This window comes from Homo sapiens, chromosome 17, assembly GCF_000001405.40.
Source record: "Homo sapiens chromosome 17, GRCh38.p14 Primary Assembly".
Lineage (NCBI taxonomy): Eukaryota > Metazoa > Chordata > Mammalia > Primates > Hominidae > Homo > Homo sapiens.
Window position 1 is genome coordinate 42,445,969 of NC_000017.11, and position 22,010 is coordinate 42,467,978.

Genomic DNA, 22,010 nt, shown 5'->3' on the forward strand with positions numbered 1-22,010 from the left:
TCTACTAAAAATACAAAAAAAAATTACCCGATGTGGTGGCGGGCGCCTGTAGTCCCAGTTACTCGGGAGGCTGGGGCAGGAGAATGGCGTGAACCCGGGAGGCGGAGCTTGCAGTGAGCCGAGATCGCGCCACTGCACTCCAGCCTGGGTGACAGAGCGAGACTCCGTCTCAAAAAAAAAAAAAAAAAAAAAAAAAAAAAAAAAAAAAAAAAGAAAAAGAAAAAAAAAGAAGAAATAATGGCAGAAAATTCCTCAAATTTGACAAGAGACCTAGAACTACAAGTTCAAGAAGCTGAGAAAACCACAAACATGATAAACTCAAAGAAATCTATACCAGGACACGTAATAATCTAACTCCTGAAAACTAATAACAAAGAAAAAATCTTGACAGCAGTAAGAGAAAAACATCTTTCTCATAAGGGAAAAACAGATTGAACCACAATAGATTTCTCACCAGAAACTAAAAAAGGCCAGAAGAAAGTGGCACAACTTTTTTCAAATGCTAGAAGAAAAAAACTATCAAAGATGAAAGAGAAATCAACACATTTTCAGATGAAGAAAAACTAAGAGAATTTGTCATTTGTAGATCTACCCTTTAAAAAAGTGGCTAAAAGGGGGCCGGGTGCAGTGGCTCATGCCTGTAATCCCATCACTTTGGGAAACCGAGGCAGGCGGATCACTTGAGGCCAGGAGTTTGAGACCAGCCTGGCCAACGTGGCAAAACCTAGTCTCTACTAAAAATACAAAAATTAGCCAGGCATAGTGGCACATGCCTGTAGTCCCAGCTACTCTGGAGGCTGAGGCAGGAAAATCGGTTGAACCTGGGAGGTGGAGGTTGCAGTGAGCAGAGATCGCACCACTGCAATCCAGTCTTGGTGACAGGGCAAGACTCCATCTCAAAAAAAAAAAAAAAAAAGCTAAAGGAAGTTCTTGAAAAGAAAGGGAAATGATAAAAGAAGGGACCTTGGAACATCAAGGATGAAAAAAGAACGTGGAGTGGCCCACACTTGTAATCCCAGCACTTTGGAAGGCCGAGGCGGGCGGATCACGAGGTCAGGAGATCGAGACCACGGTGAAACCCCGTCTCTACTAAAAATATAAAAAATTAGCCGGGCGTGGTGGCGGGTGCCTGTAATCCCAGCTACTCAGAGAGGCTGAGGCAGGAGAATGGCGTGAACCCGGGAGGCGGAGCTTGCAGTGAGCTGAGATCGCACCACTGCACTCCAGCCTGGGTGACAGAGCGAGACTCTGTCTCAAAAAAAAAAAAAAAAGAAAGAAAAAAGAACGTGGAAAGCAAATATATGAGTAATTGCAATATACTTTCCTTCTTGTATTAGTCATCTAGGGCTTCCATAACAAAATACTGCAGACTGGGTAACTTAACCAACAGAATTTATTTTCTCACAGTTCTGGAGGCTGGAAGTCTAAGACCAAAGTGTTGGTAGGTTTGGTTTTTCCTGAGGCCTCTTTTCTTGGCCTGTAGATGGCCACCTTCTTGCTGTGTCCTCCCATGGCCTTTTGTCTGTGTGTGACCACTCCTGGTGCTTTTTCCTCTTCTGAAAAGGACACTGGGCCGGGCGTGGTGGCTCACCCCTGTAATCCCAGCACTTTGGGAGGCCAAGGCAGGCGGATCACCTGAGGTCGGGAGTTCGAGACAAGCCAACATGGAGAAACCCCATCTCTACCGAAAAAACAAAATTAGCCGGGCTAATCCAACAGGACTGGTGTCCTTTTTTGTGGGGGGGGACGGAGTCTTGCTCTGTTGCTCAGGATGGAGTGCAGTGGCACAATCTCAGCTCACTGCAACCTCCACCTCCCAGGTTCAAGTGATTCTCCTACTTTAGCCTCCCGAGTAGCTGAGATTACAGGCATGTGCCACCACACCCAGATAATTTTCTTTTTTTTTTTTTTAGTAGAGACGGGGGTTTCAACATGTTGGCCAAGCTGGTCTCAAACTCCTGACCTCAAGTGATCCTCCCACCTCGGCCTCCCAAAGTGCTGAGATTACAGGTGTGAGCCACCAAGCCCGGCTGGTGTCCTTTTTTTCTTCTTTTCTTTTTTTTTTTTTGAGACGGAGTTTCACTCTTGTTGCCCAGGCTGGAGTGCAATGGCGTAATCTCGGCTCACAGCAACCTCTGTGTCCCGGGTTCAAGCAATTCTCCTGCCTCACCTTCCCGAGTAGCTGGGATTACAGGTGTGTGCCACCACTCCTGGCTAATTTTTTTGTGTTTTTAGTGGAGACAGAGTTTTGCCATGTTGGTCAGGCTGGTCTCAAACTCCTGACCTCAAATGATCTGCCCATCGTGGCTTCCCAAAGTGCTGGGATTACAGGAGTGAGCCACCGTGCCCGGCCCTCATTTAATCTTAATTACATCTTTAAAGGCCCTGTCTCCAATGTACAGTCACAATAGAGGTTAGGGATTCAACATAGGAATTTGGGAAGACACAATTCAGTCTATAACACTTCTCCTCCCTCTCCCTCTCCCTCTCCCTCTACCCACGGTCTCACTCTCCCTCTCCCTCTCCCCACAGTCTCCCTCTCCCTCTCTTTCCACGGTCTCCCTCTGAGGCCGAGCCGAAGCTGGACTGTACTGCTGCCATCTCGGCTCACTGCAACCTCCCTGCCTGATTCTCCTGCCTCAGCCTGCCGAGTGCCTGGGATTGCAGGCGCGCGCCGCCACGCCTGACAGGTTTTCGTATTTTTTTGGTGGAGACGGGGTTTCGCTGTGTTGGCTGGGCTGGTCTCCAGCTCCTAACCGAGAGTGATCCGCCAGCCTCGGCCTCCCGAGGAGCCGGGATTGCAGACGGAGTCTCGTTCACTCAGTGCTCAATGGTGCCCTGGCTGGAGTGCAGTGGCGTGATCTCGGCTCGCTACAACCTCCACCTCCCAGCCGCCTGCCTTGGCCTCCCAAAGTGCCGAGATTGCAGCCTCTGCCCGGCCGCCAACCCGTCTGGGAAGTGAGGAGCGTCTCTGCCTGGCTGCCCATTGTCTGGGATGTGAGGAGCCCCTCTGCCTGGCTGCCCAGTCTGGAAAGTGAGGAGCTTCTCTGCCCGGCCGCCATCCCATCTAGGAAGTGAGGAGCACCTCTTCCTGGCCGCCATCCCATCTAGGAAGTGAGGAGCGTCTCTGCCCGGCTGCCCATCGTCTGAGATGTGGGGAGCACCTCTGCCCCGCCGCCCCGTCTGGGATGTGAGGAGCGCCTCTGCCCGGCCGTGACCCCGTCTGGGAGGTGAGGAGCGTCTCTGCCCAGCCGCCCCGTCTGAGAAGTGAGGAGCCCCTCCGCCCGGCAGCCGCCCCCTCTGAGAAGTGAGGAGCCCCCTCCACCCGGCAGCCACCCCGTCTGGGAAGTGAGGAGCGTCTCCGCCCGGCAGCCATCCCGTCTGGGAGGGAGGTGGGGGGTCAGCCCCCGCCCGGCCAGCCACCCCGTCCGGGAGGGAGGTGGGGGGTCAGACCCCACCCGGCCAGCCGCCCCATCCGGGAGGTGGGGGGCACCTCTGCCCAGCCGCCCCTACTGGGAAGTGAGGAGTCCCTCTGCCCGGCCACCACCCCGTCTGGGAGGTGTACCCAACAGCTCATTGAGAACGGGCCATGATGACAATGGCGGTTTTGTGGAATAGAAAAGGGGGAAAGGTGGGGAAAAGATTGAGAAATCGGATGGTTGCTGTGTCTGTGTAGAAAAAAGTAGACATGGGAGACTTTTCATTTTGTTCTGTACTAAGAAAAATTCTTCTGCCTTGGGATCCTGTTGATCTATGACCTTACCCCCAACCCTGTGCTCTCTGAAACATGTGCTGTGTCCACTCAGGGTTAAATGGATTAAGGGCGGTGCAAGATGTTTTTGTTAAACAGATGCTTGAAGGCAGCATGCTCATTAAGAGTCATCACCACTCCCTAATCTCAAGTACCCAGGGACACAAACACTGCGGAAGGCCGCAGGGTCCTCTGCCTAGGAAAACCAGAGACCTTTGTTCACTTGTTTATCTGCTGACCTTCCCTCCACTATTGTCCTATGACCCTGCCAAATCCCCCTCTGCAAGAAACACCCAAGAATGATCAATAAAAAAAAAACAAAACAACAACAACAAAAAAAACACTTCTCCTCTTGAGTTTTCTCAATTATGTTTGATGGTTGAAGCAGACTGTGTAACATTGTCCAATGTGGTTTGCAAAGTATGTTGAGGAAATATTTAAGACAATTATGTTGTAAATGGGAAAGTAAAAAGACTAAAATGGAGGTAAGAGTTTTATACTTCACTCAAGCTGATAAAAATATTGACATCAGTTGGCCAGGCACAGTGGCTCACGCCTGTAATCCCAGCACTTTGGGAGGCCGAGGCAGGTGGATCACCTGAGTTCAGGAGTTCAAGACCAGCCTGGTCAATATGGTGAAACCCTGTCTCTACTAAAAATACAAAAGTTAGCCGGGCATGGTGGCACATGCCTGCAATCCCAGCTACTCAGGAGACTGAGGCAGGAGAATCGCTTGAATCTGGGAAGCAGAGGTTGCAGTGAGCCAAGATTGCGCCACTGCACTCCAGTCTGGGCGATAGAGAGAGACTCCGTCTTAAAAAAAAAAAAAAAAAAGAAAGAAAAAAGAAAAAATATTGACATCAGTTGACTGTGATAATTTATATATGTATAATATGAAACCCATTACAACCACTTAAAAAATCTACACAAAGAGATACACTCGGGCCAGGCGCGGTGGCTCACGCCTGTAATCCCAGCACTTTGGGAGGCCGAGGCGGGCGGATCATGAGGTCAGGAGATTGAGACCATCCTGGCTAACACGGTGAAACCTCGTCTCTACTAAAAATACAAAAAAATTAGCCGGGCGTGGTGGCGGGCACCTGTAGTCCCAGCTACTCCGGAGGCTGAGGCAGGAGAATGGCGTGAACCTGGGAGGCGGAGCTTGCAGTGAGCTGAGATCGCGCCACTGCACTCCAGCCTGGGCGACAGAGCGAGACTCCGTCTCAAAAAAAAAAAAAAAAAAAGAGATGCACTCAAAAACACTATAGGAAAATTAAAATGGGATTTAAAAAAAAAAGGTACAAGTAGCCCACAGTAAGCCAGAAAAAATCAAACACAGAGACAACAAGAGGAACAAGCAGAAAACAAAAAATAAAACAGCAGACTTAAACCTTTTATTTATTTACATACTTATTTTTTTAGCAATGGAGTCTTGCTGCAAGAGAGCAGTGGCATGATCGTAGCTCACTACAGCTTCGGACTCCTGGGCTCAAGTAATCCTCCCACCTCAACTTCCCAAGTAGTTGGGACTACAGGTGCACATGCCACCACTCCTGGCTAGTTAAAAAAAATTTTTTTTTTTTGTAGAGATGAGGTCTTGCTATGTTGCTCAGACTGGTCTCAAACTCTTGGGCTCAAGCGATCCTTCTGCCTCAGCCTCTCAAAGTGCTGGGGTTACAGGCATGAGCTACCACACCTCGCCTTTAAGCCTTAAGGTATCAATAATTACATTAAATGTAAACAAAGTGCACCAATTAAAAAGCAGACTTTGGCCGGGCACGGTGGCTCATACCTGTAATCCCAGCACTATGGGAGGCCAAGGCAGGTGGATTACTTGAGGTCAAGAGTTTGAGACCAGCCTGGCCAACATGGTGAAACCCCATCTCTACTAAAAATACAAAAAAATTAGCTGGGTGTGGTGGTGGGCGACTGTAATCCCAGCTACTCAGGAGGCTGAGGCAGGAGAATCCCTTGAACCCAGGAGGCAGGGGTTGCGGTGTGCTGGGATGGTGCCACCACACTCCAACCTGGGTGACAGAACGAGACTCAATCTCAAAAAATACAAAAATAGGCCAAGGACAGTGGCTCACACCTGTAATCCCAGCACTTTGGGAGGCCTAGGTGGGTGGATCACCTGAGATCGGGAGTTCGAGACCAGCCTGACCAACATGGTGAAACCCTGTCTCTACTAAAAATATAAAATTAGCTGGGCGTGGTGGCTCATGCCTGTAATCCAAGCTACTTGGGGACTGAGGCAGGAGAATCCCTTGAACCCGGGAGGCAGAGGTTGCGGTGAGCCGAGATTGCACCATTGCACTCCAGCCTGGGCAACAAGAGCGAAACTCTGTCTCAAAAAAATTAATTAATTAATTAATTAAAGTTAAAAAAGCAGACATTGACAATGGATTAAAAATATGACACAACAATATGTTTTCTTTTTTCTTTTTCTTTTTCTATTTTTTTTTTTGAGATGGAGCCTTGCTGTGTTGCCCAGGCTGGAGTGCAGTGGCACTATCTCGGCTCATTGCAACCTCCGCCTCCCAGGTTCAAGGGATCCTCCTGCCTCAGCCCCCCAGCAGCTGAGATTACAGGCATGCATTACCATGCCTGGCTAATTTTTGTATTTTTAGTAGAGATGGGATTTCGCCATGTTGGCTAGGCTGGTCTCAACTCCTGACCTCAGGTGATCCACCCGCCTCGGCCTCCCAAAGTGCTGAGATTACAGGCATGAGCCACCGTGCCCGGACAACAATATGCTGTTTTCAAGAATCTCATTTCAGGCCAGGTCCAGCGGATCACATCTGTAATCTCAGCACTTCAAGGGACTGAGTAGGGAGGCTCATTTGAGTCCAGGTGTTTGAGTGCAGCCTGTGCAAGATAGTGAGACATTGTCTCCACAAAGAATCAAAAGATTAGTCTGGTTTGGTGGTGTGTGACTGTGGTCCCAGCTACTCAGGAGGCTGAGGCGGGAGGACTGCTTCAGCCTGGAAGTTGAAGGCTGCAGGGAGTCATGATTGCACCATTGCACTCCAGCCTGGGCAACATAGCAAGAGAGTCTTTTTAGAAAAAAAGAAATGGGTCGGGCGCTGTGGCTCATGCCTGTAATCCCAGCACTTTGGGAGGCAGAGGCAGGCAAATCGCCTGAGGTCAGGAGTTTGAGACTAGCCTGACCAACACGGTGAAACCCTGTCTCTACTAAAAATACAAAGATTAGCCAGGTGTAGTGGTGTGCACCTGTAATCCCAGCTACTCGGGAGGTGGAGGTTATGGTGAGCCAAGATCGCAGCCCTGCACTCCAGCCTGGGTGACAGAGCAAGACCCCATATCTTAAAAGAAGAAAAGAAAATTTTACTAAGTATATACTGAATACCAGGTACCAAAATAGGCAGTGAGAATACAATAAGTGAGATACGCAGGGTCCCTTCTCTTGGAGCTTTATGTTCTACTGAAAGTTAGATCTCTCCTTTGAACATTGAATCAACTAGATCTTTTCTATTAGAATTTTCCGATGTATTCATTCCACGTCTCCCTTTCTTTCTCGAAGTCACTAGAAACCCAATATAGAAACATTTGCCAGATTTTCCACTTCAGAAATCTCGAACTAGTTTCTCACTTTCCTGGACAAATATTTCAGGTCTAGTGTCACAGATGTTTTTCAGCCTTGTGTCACTCAGCCCTTTCCCTCATTCCCATCCCAAGATTTCTCATGTTTTCCAAATTTCATTTCCTTAAAAAGCCTCTGCATAGCATTCTTAACTTCCACAAGTTAAGAGGCTCACTGCCTCATGTGTCTGTCACAGGAGTCATGAGGGTTGCATAAAATAAAATGTTACATGCCTTAGGCTCATTTATATCTCCTTGTCCATGCAATCATTAGCAGAGCTTCCGAGGAAGTCTCAAAATCTATTAGGTTTTTACTTTTTACCAAAAGGCCTTTAATCTTAAACACTCACAGGTTTGAAAGTAAAAGCAGAAGTATTTTAAGGAACTCACAGTGAAGTTGTAAAAGGGACTACTTCTATGGAAACAAACTGCTAATCAACAGGTCACCTAAAGGTTGTAGCAGTAGAAATGTCTCAATGAACGCTCATATCAGATTCTTGGTAGAACAGTTTTAAGAATCAGAATTCATTTTCACATAAAAAGAAAACTTTTAAAAATGGAATTCTGGTTGCAAAAAGGAAAACATAGGGCAGGTGTGGTGGCTTACGCCTGTAATCTCAGGACTTTGGGAGGCAGAGGAGGGCAAATCACTTGAGGTCAGGTGTTAGAGACCAGCCTGGCCAACATGGTGAAACCCTGTCTCTACTAAAAATACAAAAAAATTATCCGGGCGTGGTGGCAGGCCCTGTAATCCCAGCTACTCGGGAGGCTGAGGCAGGATAAATGCCTGAACCCAGGAGGCAGAGGTTGTAGTGAGACGAGACTGCGCCACGGCACTCCAGTCTGGATGACAGAGTGAGACTCCGTCTCAAAAAAAAAAAAAAAAAGGAAGAAAAGAAAAAAAAATTCATGTATAACGGGGAACCTGTGAAGGTGGCCTCATTTGGAAATAGGATATTTGCAGATGTAATCAGGTTAAGATGGGATCATACTGGATTAAGTGGTGCCCTAATCTAATGGCTGGTGCCCCTATAAGAAGAGGAGAATTTGCCTACAGACAGAGACACATAGAGAAGGCCGGGTGCAGTGGCTCACTCCTGTAATCCCAGCACTTTGGGAGGCTGAGGCGGGTGGATCACTTGAGGCCAGGAGTTCGAGACTAGCCTGAGCAGTATGGCGAACCCCCGTCTCTACTGAAAATACAAAAATTAGCTGGGCGTGGCGGTGCACACCCGTAATCCCAGCTACTCAGGAGGCTGAGGCAGGAGAATTGCTTGAACCTGGGAGGTGGAGGTTGCAGTGAGCTGAGATTGCGCCACTGCACTCGTCTGGGCGACAGAGCAAGACTCTATCTCAAATAAAAAAAAAAAGACATATAGAAGAAAGAATACCATGTGACGATGGAGGCAACAATTGAAATGATGCATCTATAAGCCAAGGAACACCAAGGATTTCTGGCAACCACCAGAAGCCAGGAAGAGGGAAGAAAGGATTCTTTCCCAGAGCCTTTGGAGATACCATGCTCTGCAGACACCTTAATTTCAGACTTCTAGCCTCCGCTGTGAGAGAATAAATTTCGGTGTTTTTGTTTTTTTGAGACAGGGCCTCACTGTGTCACCCAGGCTGAAATGCAGTGGCTCAATCACGGCTCCCTGCAGCAGCATCAACCTCCCTGGCTCAGGCTCAAGCCATCCTCCCACTTCAGCCTCCTGAGTAGCTGGGTCTACAGGCACGTGCCACCATGCCCAGCTAATTTTTTTTTTTTTTTTTTTTTACAGACGTGGGTCTTGCTGTGTTGTCCAGGCTGGTCTCAAACTCCTGGGCTCAAGCCATCCTTCTGCCTTGGCCTCCCAAAGTGCTGGGATAACAGGAGTGAGCCACCGTGCATGGCCGATTTCTGTTGTTTTTTGTTTTTTTGAGACACAGTTTTGCTTTTTCATCCAAGCTGGAGTGAGGTGGCGCAAACTTGGCTCACTGTAGCCTCTGCCCCCTGGGTTCAAGTGATTCTCCTGCCTCAGCCTCCCAAGTAGCTGAGACTACAGGCGCCCACCACCATGTCTTGCTAATTTTTGTATTTTTAGTAGAGATGGGGTTTCCCCATGTTGGCCAGGCTAGTCTCGAACTCCTGACCTCAGGTGACAGGCTGGCCTCGGTCTCCCAAAGTGCTAGGATTACAGGCGTGAGCCACCTCGGCTGACCTGATTTCTGTTGTTTTAAATGCTACCCAGGTTGTGGTTATTTGTATGGCAGCCTTAGGGAAACGAATACTGGAAGCCTGTGGAGAAGACACTGGAGCAGATACGTATTTCAAAACACCGGGCTTAACGTTAAAACTCTCCTCTAGGCCCCATCTAGGAATCTAAGTGGGATAAGCTAAGATGAGCTAGCTGATTCTTCACTGGTGGAAATTTGGACAATTGACACGCATTCATTCAAACTAAAAATTAAAGATAAAAAACCACATTTAATAATTTCACTACAGTGACAATTCTTGTAACATTTTGAGACTCTATCAGTTAGATCCCTACCTCTGTTCTATTCTTTTTGTGGTAGTGAAGAACTAATCTTTATAACTGTTTTTTTTTTTTTCAGACTCAGTTTTGCTCTTATTGCCCAGGTTGGAGGGCAATGGCGCGATCTTGGCCACTGCAACCACCGCCTCCTGGGTTCAAGTGGTTCTCCTGCCTTAGCCTCCTGAGTAGCTGGGATTATAGGCATGCACCACCATCCCCAGCTAATTTTTTGTATTTTTAGTAGAGATGAGTTTTCACCATGTTGGCCAGGCTGGTCTCAAACTCCCGACCTCAGGTAATCCACCCGCCTCAGCCTTCCAAAGTGCTGGGATTACAGGCGTGAGCCACCACACCTGGCTTTAATTGTTTTTTAGCCATTTTCACAAATGCTAGGGAATAGCTCGGTTTAGATACTCGGAACTGTGTCACTGGCCAAGCCTCATATGGAATTGCTCATGTCTTCTAGGGCTGTAGGTGTGGTCAACAGCATTTTAAATTTGATCTTATTGGACATATGCCTCAGTTTTACCATATCATCTGTTATATGGGGATAATAATAGTAACTGCCTCCTAATGTTGTTGTGAGGATTAAATGAGTTTGTATTTACCAAGCATGTAGAAAAGTGCCTGGCACATAGTAAGTATTAATCACTGCACTCCTCTCTCTCTTGCCATTTGGGAAGTTTCTTTCTCACTGAACCATGAGCTCTCCAAGGATAAGAAGCATGTCTGTTTCATTTTCTATCCCCAGCACCTAGTACCCCTCTCTGGCACACAGTAGGCCCTCAGCAAGCATCTGCTGCCTAAAAGGCACTATCAAGCAGGCAGTATGAAATTCCATTTCTGAGTCTTGAAGAAGGAAGTCAGGTGGAAAAACAGATAAGAGTCCTACACATAAACGTTTAAGCTTGACAACACTCAAGACCATCAAGGAAGACAGCATGGAGGGAAAATAAATAGAACACTGAGGAAAGATTGATGGCAGGAGATGGAAGCAAACAGAAAAGGAGTTCTGAAACAATATTCTTTCAAAGAAGCCGTGAAAAGAGTTCAAGGGAATTGAAGTAAGTCCACAGGAAAGGCTGTCTTAAAAGTGGAGTATGAAAAATTTGTGGTTAGCAAGCAGCTGACTGAGGTTAATTTTTTTTTAAGTCTCAGAGGAAGGAAATGATATTGTGTAACAGTTTTCTCTAACTTGGCAGGCTTTTAAATGTGGGTCCCGATCTGTCTTGCCAGAAGGGTTGAGAGCTAGGGAGCAGGGAGAAGGAGGGTATGGGTCTCTCCAAGACTCTGTGTCTTAAGAAGGTTGTATTGAAGTCAGGTTATATCTTCACTCACAATATGAGACAATAAATTCAAATAAAACGTCCATTTTTGTCCCCTTATTTTGTTTAGGCTGGTAAAGCAGGTTTGATGATGTTTTTGTCAGGTTGACAAAATTATCAGCAACAAGTTTTTATCTGGAATATCTCCCTCATTACACTTGAATTTCAACAGGGTTCCACCACCCAGGAAGACAGAATAACCGGTTTTCTGAGTTTTTCCTGATACAATTCTGGTTATCACAAACGACTTGAGATCCCTACTCTTCTTTAAAAGGGCAAGAAAAGGGAATCAATATCAATATTTGATAATGGCATTTAAAAAATAATAGACATCACTTTTGCGTTTAAAAAATGTTTTTCAATATTTAATTTACAAGTTGAGTACAAGCCATAAAAAATGTTTTTAAAATAAATTTGAGGAATTGAAAACTCCTAAGTGGTCAATTGAGCCCACATGAATCTACCAAACAAGACTGAAATGTACTTTCACAACATATGGTCTGATGAGGTTTTTCCTGTTAAACAGAGAAAAATAGACCCGGGGAAGTTGCTGGAAGGCATGAACCATGTACCATTTAAAGAGAGGTTTTCCATACTTATGCAAATGAGACCCCGTTAAAGACTCTACTACAGGATCTAAAGCTAGCCGCTCCCCAGTCTGGGGCTCAAATGTTCTCATCTGTAAAATAAGGGAAAAGAGAAAGGGTGGTATATGTGTCTGCGTATTAATTATTTGAGTGTGTGTGTGAATTCTTTGGATATGAAAATAAAGAGAGAAGACATTAATTATTTGGGTGCGTATGTGTGAATTAATTCTTTGGATATGAAAATAAAGAGAGGGCCGGGCGCGGTGGCTCACACCTGTAATCCCAGCACTTTGGGAGGCCGAGGCGGGTGGAGGCCAGGACCAGTCTGGGCAACATGGCGAAACCCCATCTCTACAAAAAATACAAAAATAGCCGGGTGGCGTGGTGCGTGCCTGTAATCTCAGCTACTAGGGAGGCTGAGGCAGGAGAATCCCCTGAACCCGGGAGGCGGAGGCTGCAGTGAGCCGAGAACGCGCCACTGCATTCCCGCCTGGGAAACAGACCATCTAAAAAAAAAAAAAAAAAAAAAAAAAAAAGGCCGGGCGTGGTGGCTCACGCTTGTAATCCCAACACTTTGGGAGGCCGAGGCGGGTGGATCACGAGGTCAGAATTCGAGACTCAGCCTGGCCAACATAGTGAAACCCCGTCTCTACTTAAAAAAAAAAAAAATACAAAAATTAGCCGGGCATGGTGGTGCGTGCCTGTAGTCCCAGCTACTTGGGAGGCTGAGGCAGGAGAATCGCTTGAACCCGGGAGGTGGAGGTTGCAGTGGGCCGAGATCACGCCACTGCACTCCTGCTTGAGCAACAGAATGAGACTTCAAAAAAAAAAAAAGAAAGAGAAAAGACAACCTACCCCAGTATAAGGGGTAAGAAAAAGGATTCAGGGAGGCTCAGGAACTTAAGGCCTCGAGCACCTGCACCTCCAGCCCCACCCGCTAACCCTCCCCAGCGTGGAGATACAGCACAGGGGCCAACATGGCGTCAGCACGCTGGGTCTCGCCTGCGACCCCCGTGACTCCGCACTGCTGCAGCCCGGGCGAGGCTGCGCCCCATTGGCCAACTGCAATGAGGTCATTGCGGGGGCGGGGGCCGGCGGCGGCGCAGGGGCGGGGCTTTACGGACGCAAGCACGTCGAAGCGCTGCTCCTGGAGCCGCGGAGGGTGCGGGTTTGGCTGCGGTGGTTTCTGTGGCGGTTGCTGTGGCGGAGTTTGGAGGTGAGTGGGGGCTGTAGGTTTAGCGCAACAGGGAGCGGCCCTCGATGGACGTAGGAAATCCTTCTAAGAGCCCCCTTGATTGTCAGAGGAATTAGCGGGGATCTGACGTCTTCGAGATAAAATGGGGGTTCGCCCCCTCCTTGGGCACCCCTCCTCTGCCCTGAGGAACCGGAGGCTCACTGCCCTTTGGAAGCCCCGCATCTCTTCCCTGCTTTAAGGGGTAGGCGGAGGAACCGGAGGTTATTGGATAGGCAGAAGAATTTAGGGGGCTTCTTAAAGGGTTTCTCAGTTTGGGGGTTTTCCTCTCCTTTTTTCCCATCTCAAGGTAGATGAGCCTGAGTCCAGAGAATTCCTGCTCATTGGGTAGACAGGAAATGAAGCAGGTGAATACCGTGGGAGGAGGCGAGGACCGGATGACAGGAGTGAGATTCTTCTAGGCAGGGCGCGGGGGCGCTGTAGTTGGACTCATCTTTTGCAGAATTGCTGTTTCTTCATATTTTGTTTTGTGATCGTCCAGAACTACTTTGGCCTAATTAGTTTTCTGTTAGCCTCCATTGCTATAGAGATATTCTTGGGAGACCTATAATCATTAAAGAGCAGGAGGACGGAGGCGACTCGTTGGAGGCTTATCATTATCCACAGCTCCTGAACTATGCTGACCAGGCCTAATTTTATGTGTTTAGAGGTTGTAGAATCTCTCTTTGTTTAAGGGTGGTGCCGGTAACAGCTGATTTGGATGATTCAGATGTACAGAATCTTAAAGTCAGCCTGCATATTCTCTTGAGAAGTCCTTGCTTATGTCTGAGCTTGTGTTACTGTCTTGAACATCACATGCACAAAGGTTTGTTCGTTCAGATTTCTCAAAATGTCTCCCAGCCTTCCAGAAGAGTAAATCTTCCTTTGATGTCAGACTCATCTATCAGTACTCAGTATAGATGCCCTTATGACACTAAAAATACTGTGCATTTTTCTGAGTTTGGATACTGGACAGGCTGTGCCTTACATTAGCTGATCGAGAATAAATAATTGCAGTTTCAGGACCACTGATAGCGCCAGTTGTCTCATACCCGGCAACAGTAAGACAGCACTAAAACGAAACCTTTATTGGCTCATGAGATTTGACAGATGGAAGAATGTAATTAATCTTGAAGGTAGGGTTGAGAAACAGAAAGCTGCAGAGGTGGAAGGCTTATTCTCTGTGGCTTGATAAAACTGCTTTGTCATTATCAGTGTGTTCCTGTCATGCTTGATTTGAAATTGAGCTTAATATGCAAACTGGTTGCTTTTTCCAGATGACGGTTATTTGTTTGAATTCCTAAGTGGGGAAATATTGTTTTCTGAGGAATCTGGAAGATTAAACCCTTTAGTGTAGCCATAGCTTTAGGATAGTGCCAGAACTTTGGGCTTTTAGAAATGCGCATTGTCAGTAGAAGGGAGAAGGATAGTTACAAGGCAGACATCTTTATGAGAGGGTATTGAAGGCCTCTTCTGTTTGTTTCCTGCACTAGCAAAAACAGATTGAGCAGTGTGAAACTCACTGCCTCAATATTGTGTCCTGGGTATTTAAAGAGTTGTTTGAGGTTCCCAGTTCCTGTCTTTAATCTGGATACATTCTTATCAGTTGAGTTGCCCAAAATAATTGTCATTTGATCCTGATGTTGACTGGAATGGAAGTGACTTTTCATCTGACACTCTGTGGGACAGAATTCAGGAACTGCCTTTGCAATTTCTCCTTTCCATCTTTCTAGACAGGGTGTCAAAAACAGTTGTTGACCTGTCCTCATGGGGTGTTAGAAATGTAAATGCAAGAGCCGTAGTGGGGTGTCATTTGCTCTTAGCCCTCGTGGTAATTTCCAAAGTTATGTCATTTTCTCTTTGCTTCAGGTTGGAGAGAAATCCAGGTACTCACTAGACTGGTACCTTCTGCCACCATGGGGGAGCTTTTCCGGAGTGAAGAAATGACACTGGCCCAGCTTTTTCTACAGTCAGAGGCTGCTTATTGTTGTGTCAGTGAATTAGGAGAACTTGGAAAGGTTCAGTTTCGTGACGTAAGTAGTTGTGGGGCTGCGACTTGATTACTGCTGAACTCTATTGCTATCGTGGTCAGATGCCTTATGATGAATGTTTTGTTTTTTATTTGCAAAAATAACATTATAGCACTGACTTCCTATTGGCAGAATGCACATTTTGAGTTGTCTTTCTAAAGGTGAGAATGTTTTGTGCCAATCTTTACATGCTTTTGCTAGCTCCCACTTTCAGAACAGTCCTAAGCATTCTCCAGGTAATTGTTTGGGATGCAGGGAGAGGTTACCAAACTAACCTGATCAAGGCTTTCACTTGCTAAATAGCAAGGTATTTAAAAAAATATATTGCAGTTTTTCCATATAGTAGGACATTTTAAAAAAAATAAAATTTGAGGTATCCAGCTACAGATATATAGTATATAAATAAGCATATACTGAATATTCATTATTTTGGAATATTATACTGGGCACTTGGAGAAGCTATCTAAAGAATATGGACAATCTAGCCTGGGTACAGTGGCTCACGCCTATAATCCTAACACTTTGGGAGGCTGAGGCGGGCGGATCGGGAGGTCAGGAGTTTGAGATCAGTCTGGCCAACATGGTGAAACCCCGACTCTACTAAAAATACAAAAAAAATTAGCATGGTGGCGCAGGCCTGTAATCCCAGCCACTCGGGAGGCCGAGGCAGGAGAATCGCCTGAACCTGGGAGGCGGAGGTTGCAGTGAGCCGAGATTGTGTGATTGCACGCAGCCTGGGCGACAGAGCAAGACTCCGTCTCAAACAACAACAACAACAACAAAAAACTTGTCATCCTTAATTTGCAGTTCTTCATCTGGTCCTATGTTGTCCCTCTGCTTAACATCTATTGGCTCTATTCAGCCTTCTTTTCTTTTACTTATGCTGTACTTCAGTCATACAAAAAAAAGAGATAGGGGCCAGGTGCAATGGCTCACACCTGAAATGCCAGTACTTTGAGAGGCCAAGGCAGGAGGATCGCTTGAGCCCAGGAGTTGGAGACCAGTCTGGGCAACATAGGGAGATCCCGTCTCTGCCAAAAAAAAAAAAAAAAAAAAAAATGCCGGATGTGGTGGCACATGGCTGTGGTCCCAGCTGCTTGGGAAGCTAAGGTGGGAGGATCGCTGAAGCCCAGGAGGTCGAGGCTGTAGTGAGCTGTGATTATGCCACTGCACTCCAGCCTGGGTGACAGAGCATGACACTGTCTCAAAACCAAAAAAAAAAAAAGAGGTGGGGGGAGTATTATAATGACCACCTATGTTTCTACTATCTGCTTAAGAGGGAAACATTCCGTGTATAATTGAAACCTCTGTTTCTCTTTGCTCCATGCCAGTCCTTTCTTCCACCCCAGAGGTAACCCGTACAGTGATTTGTTTTGCTTTTATTTCTCCTATGTGTGGTTTTTGTTGTTGTTGTTGTTGCTTTTCTTTTTGAGACAGAGTCCACTCTGTCGCCCAGGCTGGAGTGCAGTGGTGTGATCTCAGCTCATTGCAGCCTCCGCCTCCCAGGTTCAAGCAATTCTCCTGCCTCAGCCTCCTGAGTAGCTGGGACTAAAGGCATGCACCACCATGCCCAGCTAATTTTTGTATTTTTAGTAGAGACGGGGTTTCACCACATTGGCCAGGCTGGTCTCGAACTTCTGACCTCTGGTGATCCACCCGCCTCGGCCTCCCAAAGTGCTGGGATTACAGGCATGAGCCACCATACCTGGCCAACAGATATTTCAGTTTCTTCTAGTTCTGTTAATTTTTTTTTAATAATAAAATTTATAACATTAAGAAAAAAAATAGAGATGGGGGTCTCGCCATGTTACCCAGGTTGGTCTTGAACTCCTGGACTCAAGCGGTTCTCCTGCCTCAGCCTCCCAAAGTGCTAGGATTACCGGTGTGAGCCACTGTGCCTGGCTGAAATGTACACATCTTAAGAGTACAATTTGCTGAATTGATAACTTTATACACCTCTGTAACCAGCACCCCAATCAGGATATGGAACTTTTTTTTTTTTTTTTTTTTTTTTGGAGACAGAATCTTGCTCTGTCGCCCAGGCTGGAGTGTAGTGGTGCGATCTTGGCTCACTGCAACCTCCGTCTCCTGGGTTCAAGCAATCCTCCCTCAGCCTCCTGAGTAGCTGGGACTACAGGCGCACACCGCCGAGCCCGGCTAATTTTTTTTTTCTATTTTAGTAGAGATGGAGTTTCACCATGTTGCCCAGGCTGGTCTCGAACTCCTGACCTCAGGTGATCCATCCCCCCTCAGCCTCCCAAAGTGCTAGGATTACAGACGTGAGCCACCAGGCCCAGACTGAACATTTTCATCAGTCCAGAAAAGTATCTGTGTCTACTGCTAGTCAGTTGCTACCCTTCATAGGTAACCTCTGTTTTGATTGCTGTCATCATAGGATTAGTTTTCCCTGTTCTTGAATTATATGTAAACGACTCATACATTGCAAACTCATGTCTGACTTCTTTCACTCAGCCTCTGTTTCTTGCATGTATCCGTAGTTCATTTTTAAAAATTGCCGAACGGTAAGTAGTTCATTGTATGATTACACCACAGTGTTTTCATCCTTTCTTTTGTCATTACTCTTTTGGGGCTATTATGATTAAAGCTGAAGTAAACATTATCATAAAAGTCTTTTTTTTAGTTTACAAGTTTTGATTTTTCTTAAGCAAATACAGTTGATCCTTGAAAATGCAGGGGTTAGGGGTGCCAATCTCCCCATGCAGTCAAAAATCTGCATACAATTTTGACTCCTCCAAAACTTAACTATTGATAGCCTGCTTTTGACCAGAAGCCCTACCAATTTCATAAACAGTCGATTAATACATATTTTGTATGTTATATGTATTGTACACTGTATTCTTACAATAAAGTAAGCTAGAGAAAAGAAAATACTGTTAAGAAAATCATAAGGAAGATAAACTGTATTTACTGAAAGTGGATCATCTTGAAGGTCTTCATCCTTATTGTCTTTATGTTGAGGAGGCTGAGGAGGAGGAAGGGGAGGGGTTGGTCTTACTGTCTCAGGCTGGCCGAGGTGGAGGAAAATCTGTGTGTTAGTGGACCAGCAGAGTTCAAACCCACATTGTTCAAAGGTCAACAGTAACTGAGTAGTGGAATGCTCAGTCATGGGTTGGGTAGGTGTATGTTTAACTTTGTAAGAAACTGCCAACAGTTTTCCACATCTTTTACTTCCTTTTTAATAGCATTTATCACAACAAATTGTAATAATTGGTTTGTGTCCGTCTCTTCTGTAGAGCTGAAGACTGGGACGTAGCTTATTATTAATCTTAATTGCTAATAAAAATTTTTGCCTTAGATTCCTCTAATATTAATATATTGAGTTCTCGAAGAGAGAAGTGTTGAATACATGGATATGTATGTGTGTGTTTGTATTTTTTTTTTTCTTTTTTTTGAGACTGAGTCTAGTTCTGTCACCCAGGCTGGAGTGCAGTGGCACGATCTCGGCTCATTGCAACCTCCGCCTCCCGGGTTCAAGCAATTCTTCTGCCTCAGCCTTCCAAGTAGCTGGGATTACAGGTGCCCGCTGCCACTCCCGGCTAATTTTTTTGTATTTTCAGTAGAGACGGGGTTTCACTGTGTTGGCCGGGCTGGTCTCGAACTCCTGACCTCATGAACTGCCCGCCTTGGTCTCCCAAAGTGCTGGGATTACAAGCGTGAGCCACCGTGCCCGGCCAATGTGCTTGTATGTTTCTATGTGTGTATGCATATAATATATATACACACATACGTGATTAAGCTAATAAATTGTGTTGTTCAGCTTTTCAAAGCTAGGACATAGCTTATTCTTTGTATTTTCCCCAGTGCCTAGTTCAGTATCTGACACCTATTTGGTGCTTCATAAATGTTGAGTAAATATAGTTCTTTATTTGTGTTAATTTTATGGAATTTATCACATACTATTTTATTGGTTGGGTTCATCTTCTTCTCTATTAGATTGCAAGCTTTTTATTTAATTTAATTAATTTATTATTATTATTTTTTGAGACAGAGTCTCGCTCTGTTGCCCAGGCTGGAGTGCAATGGCACGATCTTGGCTCACTGCAACCTCTCCCTCCCAGGTTCAATTGATTCTTGTGCCTCAGCCTCCTGAGTAGCTGGGATTACAGGCATGTACCATCATGCCCGGCTAATTTTTTGTATTTTTAGTTGAGACAGGGTTTCGCCATGTTGTCCAGGCTGGTCTCAAACTCCTGAGCTCAGATAATCCTCCTGCCTCAGCTTCCCAAAGTGCTAGGATTATAGGCGTGAGCCACCGCATCCGGCCTATTTATTTTTTTGAGACAAGAGTCTCACTCTTGTCACCCAGGCTGGAGTGCAGTGGCATGATTTTGGCTCACTGCAACCTCAGCTTCCCGGGTTCAAGCGATTCTTCTGCCTTGGCCTCCCGAGTAGCTGGGATTACAGATGTACACTACCATGCCCGGCTAATTTTGTATTTTTAGTAGAGATGGAGTTTCGCCATGTTGGCCAGGCTGGTCTTGAACTCCTGACCTCAGGTGATCCACCCACCTTGGCCTCCCAAAATGCTGGGATTACAAGCGTGAGCCACCGTGACCGGCCAGATTGCTAGCTTTTTAGTGAGTAGTTACTTGTTTTGTTTTTATTTGTATATTCCAGAACATCTGTCATATTGCTTTGAAAATTACTTATGGTGCCAGACGTGGTGGCTCATGCCTGCAATCCCAGCACTTTGGGAGGCCGAGGTGGGTGGATCACCTGAGGTCAGGAGTTTGAGACCATCCTGGCCAACATGGTGAAACCCTGTCTCTACTAAAAATGCAAGAAAATTAGCTGGGCATGGTGGTGCGCACCTGTAATCCCAGCTACTCAAGAGGCTGAGGCGGGAGAATTGCTTGAACCTGGGAGGCAGAGGTTGCAGTGAGCCAAGATCACGCCACTGCACTCCAGCCTGGTGACAGAGCAAGACTCTGTCTCAAAAAGAAAAAAAGCAATTACTTGTGGTGTATGAATGAATAAACTAAAGCCTGTCACTGAGAAGGTGAAGGCCTTGGGACAGAAAAACAAGAGAAGTTCCTCTTGTGCTTGGAAAGAAAGAAGGAAAACCAGAGAGAGCTTCTGTGATATTCATTGCCCAAATTTTAGGTGGTGGGAAGGAAGCTCACTGAGACTTTTGCCTAGGAAGAACATTTTTGTACCGTTGTGTTTTACCTAATTTGCCTCCATTCCAGTAATGTTGCAGCAACGAGGGAGGAAGTTTTTATCCTTAGCTGGTGTGACTGGCCATAAAGCAGTTTTTTTGGATCAGTAGACAGTTTTGATTAGTGTTGCATCATGCATTGACAGAAAATTAGTTTTTCGCTTTGCAGAATGTGTTGCTTGAGAAACAGAAGAAATAGATACAATATTTCAATGTTTGGTATTGTGTTTTTATTTTTCAGTTAAATCCAGATGTGAATGTTTTCCAACGGAAATTTGTGAATGAAGTTAGAAGATGTGAAGAAATGGATCGAAAGCTTCGTATGTGCACTTTGGTCTTGTGTAATGTTCCTTTAATGAATCATTTGTCTTAGATTAGTGACATTAGTCCTCTTAATAGAGGAAGAAAATGTTATAAGAGAAAAGGGAAAAATCTTGCAGTTAAGATGCCAAGGTGTATTTCTCGTATACGAGTAGATTTTGTGGTCTTTGGGCTAAGTAGTGCTTAATGGAAACCTCGTTTGAAATAACATGCTGCAAACTGAAAACTGGTTGTTTTTTTGTGAGATTTTAATAACAAAACTACATGATAGAATTTTGAGAAATAGGACCCAGCACACCATCAGTTTTTGTCAGCAGAGCCACCTTTTAATTTGAGCTATTTAAGAGGGAAGAAACTGGCTGGGCCCGGTGGCTCACACCTGTAATCCCAGCACTTTGGGAGGCTGAGGCGGGTGGATCACGAGGTCAGGAGATCGAGACCATCCTGGCTAACATGGTAAAACCCCGTCTCTACTAAAAATACAAAAAATTAGCTGGGCGTGGTGGCAGGCGCCTGTAATCCCAGCTACTGGGGAGGCTGAGGCTGGAGAATGGCATGGACCCGGGAGGCAGAGCTTGCAGTGAGCTGAGATCGCACCACTGCACTCCAGCCTGGGCGACAGAGCGAGACTCCGTCTCAAAAAAAAAAAAAGGGAGGAAACTAACATTTATCTAAGTTCTCTTGAGGGCTAGGTTGCTCATATACATTACTTTATTCATTCTCCACAACATTCCTTCAAGATGGGTATTATCTTATTTAATAATTGAGGAAACTAAAGATTAGAGAGGCTTAATGACTTGCCCTAGATCATAAACAGTTATGATGGAATCAGTATTTGAAGCCAGGTTGCTCTCTCTGGCTCAAAAGTCCATGATCTTGCCACTCTACTAAGCCAGCTTATGGTTAGCTGATAAGTGAATTTGGTCCCCACTATAAAAAACAGTTGTAGTTGTTACCTGAAACACTCTTCTCTTCTGGTATTTTGTGTCCTTATTACCTGTTCTGCTTTTTCATTTTTGTTTTTTATGCTTAAAACTGACCTGATTGTTTTCAAATTTAATGAACCCCTTTAGATCTAGAGTTGTCTCACTAGTGTGTTAAGTGTCAAATATTCTATTGCATTATACTCTTCTTCATAACTCTGCTTTGCCAATAATATCTATAAGCAGAACTGTCATACTTTGGAGTGGCATTCGCGTATGGAGGAGAGGTGTGGCCTTGAAGGCCAGTGTTAAGACCTGAAGAAGGAAAGAAGGCAGTTGTGGGATGACCACCCTTTGGAGTAACTTTAGAGAATGTGAGGAAGGAGAAAGAGGGATGGGGAGAAAAAAGGTGCTTCTTTCATATTAAAAGATATTATATCTTTTATATATATATATAAAGTATCTTTTTTGAATAAAACTTTTTGTAACCAGGTCTTAGATGTTAATTCTTTTCCTTAAATAATGGCAATTACGAGCATGTGCAGTT

The 22,010-nt window shown here is 45.6% G+C and overlaps 1 protein-coding gene and 1 long non-coding RNA gene across 39 annotated transcripts in view, besides 2 other annotated features; both read left to right on the forward strand.

Moving 5' to 3' along the window:
• The window catches only part of LOC102725238 (uncharacterized), a 27,071-nt gene extending 22,782 nt beyond the window's left edge, over window positions 1-4,289 (forward strand). The window contains exon 4 of the long non-coding RNA XR_007065758.1: window positions 2,533-4,289. This is a non-coding gene — a long non-coding RNA (uncharacterized LOC102725238). The remainder of the gene's footprint in view (window positions 1-2,532) is intronic.
• Window positions 12,530-12,619: an enhancer, noted in NCBI's record as "active region_12201". NCBI's record gives its function as "activates an Ori minimal core promoter by ATAC-STARR-seq in GM12878 lymphoblastoid cells {active_cell/tissue: GM12878}" and the evidence as "EXISTENCE:reporter gene assay evidence [ECO:0000049][PMID:35858748]".
• Window positions 12,770-12,979: a silencer, noted in NCBI's record as "silent region_8529". NCBI's record gives its function as "represses an Ori minimal core promoter by ATAC-STARR-seq in GM12878 lymphoblastoid cells {active_cell/tissue: GM12878}" and the evidence as "EXISTENCE:reporter gene assay evidence [ECO:0000049][PMID:35858748]".
• Window positions 12,910-22,010, forward strand: part of ATP6V0A1 (ATPase H+ transporting V0 subunit a1) — a 63,702-nt gene continuing 54,601 nt past the window's right edge. For 36 of the 38 annotated variants that reach the window (XR_007065303.1, XR_007065304.1, XR_007065306.1 and 33 more), the window contains exons 1-3: window positions 12,910-12,995; window positions 14,880-15,043; window positions 20,461-20,539. Coding sequence is in view for 33 of the 38 variants with exons in the window: in NM_001378531.1 (NP_001365460.1) it covers window positions 14,927-15,043; window positions 20,461-20,539 (196 nt within the window). In the remaining 5 variants the exon portion in view is untranslated. The remainder of the gene's footprint in view (window positions 12,996-14,879; window positions 15,044-20,460; window positions 20,540-22,010) is intronic. The other 2 variants (NM_001378543.1, NM_001378549.1) reach the window with 1 other exon arrangement.